The sequence below is a fragment of the Homo sapiens genome, chromosome 13 (genome assembly GCF_000001405.40).
Source record: "Homo sapiens chromosome 13, GRCh38.p14 Primary Assembly".
NCBI classification, from domain to species: domain Eukaryota; kingdom Metazoa; phylum Chordata; class Mammalia; order Primates; family Hominidae; genus Homo; species Homo sapiens.
In genome coordinates, this window is record NC_000013.11 from 74,573,772 (window position 1) to 74,579,923 (window position 6,152).

Genomic DNA, 6,152 nt, shown 5'->3' on the forward strand with positions numbered 1-6,152 from the left:
CTCTATCTTTCCCTCTGCGTTTAGATGAGACCTGCTTTCTTCTCCCGCTGGTGATGATCTGGGCTTCTGTGGGTGACCAACTCCAGGGGGCGCCGCGCACACAGCCTAAGGCAGCCTTGGTGGGGACAGTAAATCCTCCTTAGGCTTTTCTTTTAAATGGTTCCAATTTGTTGTTGTGATTGTGTCTTACCGATGTCATATTTGAAGCCACTTTGTCACATGGCCTTTTGCCTCCTCTTCAGGGTTATCAGTAATCTAATACTGTAATTCACCTCTTGGAAGGGAATGTAATGTGTATCAGGAGCTCCTGTTATAAAAAGGAAAATTCACCAATGGGGCAATGTGGTGGAGGAAGGAGGTTGTCTTTCACAGCTGGAAGAATTTTTTGTTTTTTCTGACTCTTTTCAGTATTTTTCTGTCTCCCTAGTGACATTGGCCAAGTCACTCATGCCCTTGCAAGCTTTTTCCCCCTATATTTGTTCTGCCTATTCCCAGGCTTGTTTTGAGAACTAAACAAGATAATAGGTGCGTACAGATTCTGAAAACTAAAAGACACTCAAAAAACTCTTATATTTGGTGTTCATATTTATATTTCAGAAGCATAGCTCTGATCATATCATTTTTCCGCTTTCAGACCTTAAGGATTCCTATTACCTGCAAAATACATGTAATGTTTGAACCTCATATCTGGTAGCCTGCTTCCTCTGGTCCCCTTATTTCCGATTGCTTCCTTTTATTCATCTGCTGTTCCACTCACTCCAAGCTATTGAGTGATCCTTCTACTTATCCTGAGATTTCCTACCTCAGTGCCTTTGTTCATGCTGTTTTCTTCCTCAAAAGCAGCACTATTCAGTAGAATTTTCTGTAATGATAAAACTGATATGCACTCTCCAATATAGTAGCCACTAGCCACACATGGCTATCAAGTACTTGAGTATTGGCTAGTGTGACTGAAGAGGTGAATTTTTCATTCCATTTTAACCAATTTAAATTTAAATGTCCACATGGATAGTGGCTACCATGTTGCACACCACCACAGGCCTAGAATATTGTTCTTCGCTATCATTTTATGTTCAAATAATACCCATTTATCATTATCCAGTACATAGGTCAGGTTATCCTAAAAGCCTCCATTTGTGCCCTTCCTTGGACATCTTTCTCATCATCTTCTCTTTAACTCTATCTTGGCATTGGTTTTGTAAGTTGCATTTTGGATTTGCTTATATCTCATCTTCCCTATTAGGTGATAGATTCCTTCTGGTGGAATTTGATCTAGTTTAGCATTCCTACAACGTTGACACACACAAAACATTTGGGGAGAGACAGACTATCATTGCCTGTCCCAAGTGACAGTCACTCCATCACTCATTTACTCAATCAGCCCTGCCACTTGTCTCCACTGGGTGCTGTCAGGCCCATGTGAAATCAGAGAGTTCAGACAATTAACCAAGGAGTTGCTGGGACACCGGATCTTCAGCCCACTGACACATCCTTTTGTTTTCCTAATGGTAGGTTGTTTGTACTTAAAATGAGCCTACACTCTGTGAGCTCCTTGTAACAAATATTTCTGAAGACTAGTCCCCTGTTTTCTAGGCACAGGGGATGGAGAGAAACAGAAAACCACTCGGCTTTGGAAGAGCTCCCAGCATCTCAAAGAGAGGGAGAAGAGAGGCAACTCGGAACCTCACCTGCAAAACAAGGGTGGGTGGTATAACCCGCCCTGTCCCTCTGCCTCCCTAAACAAGAAAATCTCTTCCGGTCCTTTGAGGCGAGCCACTCTCTCCAGGAGCTTCGGTCTGGAGCCACATCAACCTAGGAGGAAGGGAAGATGACAAGCCCAGCGTGTAAATGTCCTTTCTTCCTAGCAACAACATTTGAAAGCATAGACCTTAGTCAGATGGGACACATTTGGCAAATGTTCAGGCGTGCAGCATTTCAATTGATGAAATTTCTTTGTGGAACCCTGTTCCCAAGGGCAGGGAAAATTGGAGAGTGAACAATTAGATGCTGGCGCGGCCCGGAGAGGCTCGCGGATGCCTGGCCGCGCGCCTCCGCGGGACGTCAGCGCCCGCGGCACGATCTGCTGCTGTCACTATCAGTATCCGGCAGGAGCCCGCCCGCCCCGGCCCGGCCCCAGGCCGTGGAGGAGGGGGGAGGGTGCGGCGCAGGAAGCTGAAGATAAGTCTCCAAATCGGGCTAAGCTGGGAGTGGGGACAGCGAGGGGGAGGGCCGGGAAGCAATGAAGTCAGAGGCACAGCAGCGACTGCAGCTGAATCAATTTGGAGATAAAAATAGTGCCTTGCCGCCCCTGCCTCTGCAGTGATTTCATAAAGGTCTCAGCTGCGTTGGAGAGAAAGCCAGCATGTGTGTCCCTACCCCCTTTTCCAAACTGGTGAGATGAGCAAAACAGCAGCGACAAGGAGAGCCCAAATGCTCTTCTTCATCTTCTCCCTCTGTCTCTTTGTTTTCCTATCTCCCACTCTCTCTCCCAAAGACCCCAGAAGCGCCCCTTGCTTCACCTGTTCCTCTTAATGGGATAATTAAAGATTAGGACAAAGAGATGAGACCTTCACAAGCTGAAAGAGATAGAGATTCTAGACAGTCATAATGAATCCAGATGGCACTTTCCCCTGACTTTCAACCCCTGAGACGTCAACTAGATGACTGACCACTCCAAAGCCTGAAGGTTAAACACCCTGCAAGAATGGGTCCCAATAAGTCAGACCAACCTCCTATTTCCATATGGGAACATCTCTTCCTGAACCTTAAGAGAAAACAAAACCTGGGATGGCCAATTAGTGTGACTGTCCCAGGAGACACAGATTTAGGGCTCAGTTTCTGTGACGGATGCGAGAAACCTCGAATTGGATCTGAAAAGGACATGAAGTGAATAGAGCTTTGGCACTTCACAGAGTGATTATCCCTGCAGTGCAAGGAGGTAACCTTTCTGCTGCTACATCCTGACATTTGCATGGAGGCAAATGCATCACTGGTAATTGCACCTGAGTGTCAAAGCCACTTGATGTGTGTGTTCCGACCAAGGTATGAATGAGAACTTTAGCGCTAGGGAATGGGAGGCAAAGAAAAAGTGCAGACAAATTATGGGAGAAGAGATAATGGAATTGGCCATTAAAAATTAACAGCTTGGATTGATGTTTCTTTCACACTCCTGCAAAAGGAATAGGTTCAGATTAAATAATACACTGCTTGTGAAAGTGCCTAAACTAGTGTCTCTCTCTAAAAAATGCTACTTAGTAAATACTGTCCTAGATGCTTTCAAAATGAATATGCTTATACTCGCTCAAGAGGAAACATAAAACTAGGACTATTTCATTGAAGCCAAGAAAATCAGTTTTGTAGTGTATAGGCAAAATGTTCAAAATAGAACCCATACATCTTCTGACTTTAGCCATAGACCTTCAATTCAGTAGGTATTAAATACAGGACGTGGAAGCATAATAAAAACATATGACCCAAAGGTCTCTTAAACTGTGGGGCCCAAAGTGAACATCTTGTTGTTGGTTTCACATACAACTCTGAAATAATTTCGTTCTCTCAAAGGAAGAAATAGTTCCTGTTAGAGAATGAAAATAATGTTGCCAAACTCTCCAATTTGGCAAATATAGCAAACTATTATCAGCCACATTAGGGATCTGGCTTTCTCATGGGGACCTATTGTTTACAGAAATATCTCAGCTGAGAAATAAGCAAACATTCCCCCTGAACTACTGTGATACAATTCATATGGCCTTTCAAGGATATTTACAACCACTGAGAGGAAATCCATGGAAAATTTAGAATCACTACAAAGGTCCCTTTTGGTGCTTCTGAAAATTTTGATGCCTTTTTGAATATCCTGATGACTATTTTCCCACTGATGAACAAAGACATCTGAAGCAAAGCCAGTTTATGCTGTGCTGGGTTCCTACTACAAATTAGTGAAAACAGAGCATGCTTAGGATGAACGGTGTGTACTTGATAAAAATACATTACGATTTTAAATACAACTGAACTGTGTTTATTTTCTTATAAAAGCATATTTTTAAATCTGAAATACTTTTTGTAATTCAATCAAACAATCTTAATCTTGTGAGTATTTGAAACACCACTGACAATTTTACAGACCATCTTAGGAACACACTGGGATTTCCTGCTTCTGGTTGGATTAGGAGAGGGCCAAAGCTACTTGACTTGCAAAGTGCTGGTCTGTGTCTAACTATGGTAGAGAAGGCTGTGATGTGTCAAAGGATTCAATAAGAGTAGCAAAGTTGTGTTGGTCCTTGTTAAAATTTAGTCCAGTTCTAAGCTTGGGAAATAAAATGCAAGATTTTTTTTTTTTAATAGTTCCTATCATTAGCCAGGACCTTCACCATACTGGCTATGTAATGATAAAAATGCCCAGTTTACCTGGCAGAGGTTAGGAGTGAAAAGAGCTACAGACAACAGTGAAGGACAGAAGTACACCAGACATCTGTTTCCAGCACTATGGCAGGAGGGGATAAAGTGGACTGCCCTACCTCCTGTAATCTCTAACATGTAGATATGTTGTATAATATTCTATCTATCTATCTATCTATCTATCTATCTATCTATCTATCTATCTATCTATGAAAGGAATAATGGGAATCTTCAGATGCAAAGAGGAAACTCAAAGCTTGAGAAGTCTGCATACGAGCCTACACTGGGGCAGCTTTGGGGTGATGTAAGTTTCAGTCACAAGCCCAATGCCGAGGCCTGAAATTTCATTGCCCATGCAGGGTCAAAGGCATGACAAGGAACTTGTGCAAGGAAAGGGGGTAGAAATGATGTTCTTGCATAAGGCCAGGACTTAGGAAGGGTTGCCTACTCCATGAAAGGAGGATTAGAGAAATCCTTCCCTCTGGACCAAGGAAGACATGTGGAGTGTGTGAGATGTTGAAACAACACTGCTCATTACAAGTGTCCAAAGCCAGCCTGTACATTACTCACAACCTATGTGGGGTGTAATATGGTTTGGCTCTGTGTCTCCATCCAAATCTCATCTTGAATTATACTCCCATAATTTCCACATGTTGTGGGAGGGACCTGATAGGAGATAATTTGAATCATGGGGGCGGTTTTCCCCATACTGTCCTAGTGGTAGTGAATACGTCTCACGAGATCTGATGGTTTTATCAGGGGTTTTTGCTTTTTCATTTTCCTCATTTTGTCTTGCTGCCACCATGTTAAGAAGTGCCTTTTGCCTCCCACCATGATTCTGAGGCCTCCCCAGCCATGGGGAACTATAAGTACAATTAAACCTCTTTTTCTTCCCAGTCTCAGATATGTCTTTATCAGCAGCGTGCAAATGGACTAATACAAGGTGGGACTCCAGATTTGTGAAATTAACACACAAAAAAGACCTTTGGTTGATAATTCCCCTAATGGAGTATAAAAGAAAACATAAATCTGTAGGGATGCTATGGCAAATATTTTTCTGTGGGACTTTCTTGGAAAATGCAACTGTGTGAAATAAGAATAGACCATGGCATCAAGTCAGAAAACACATAAAACAAACTAAGAGTGCTAGAGAAAATAGAAAAATCTGAAAATCATGAACCTAACTATATTTTTAAAATTTTTAAGAAGAAAAAACGTAGAACATGTGTAATGAACAGATCACCATGAAAAATAAATAGAATATTTTAAAGAGATTTTCTATTAATGAAAAATGATATTGAAATGACACAGCTGAAATGAAAAATTTGTGAATTGGAAAATAGACCTGAACAATTAACTAGAATTTAGTACATAAAGAAATGTGACAAATGATATGTCAGAAAGCCTGCAGGATGGAATAAGAATAACCAAAAGTGGAATTCTAAAAGGAGAACAGAGAGAAAATGTGGTAAAAGAGTATGCTCAGCTCGCATAATGGCAAGAAATTTCTTAGAATTAGTGAAAGATATGAATCAACATATTGATAAAGCCCTCTTAATTCTGAGAAAGATAAATTAAACCAAGTCTATATCTAGACTCAGTAAATCTTCAAATAACAAAAAGTGATAAAAAAATCTTATAAACAACTCCTATACCCCCACCTTCCATCCAAAATTATATACTACTAAACATTTGTCAGACAATATAAGAAAAGAACATTGTAGACCAATCCCGTTTATGATCATAGATAAAAA

The 6,152-nt window shown here is 41.3% G+C and overlaps 1 annotated feature.

Moving 5' to 3' along the window:
- Window positions 1,188-1,701: an enhancer, noted in NCBI's record as "NANOG hESC enhancer chr13:75149096-75149609 (GRCh37/hg19 assembly coordinates)". NCBI's record gives its function as "activates a minimal SCP1, AML or CMV promoter by ChIP-STARR-seq in primed H9 embryonic stem cells {active_cell/tissue: H9 hESC(primed)}" and the evidence as "EXISTENCE:reporter gene assay evidence [ECO:0000049][PMID:30033119]".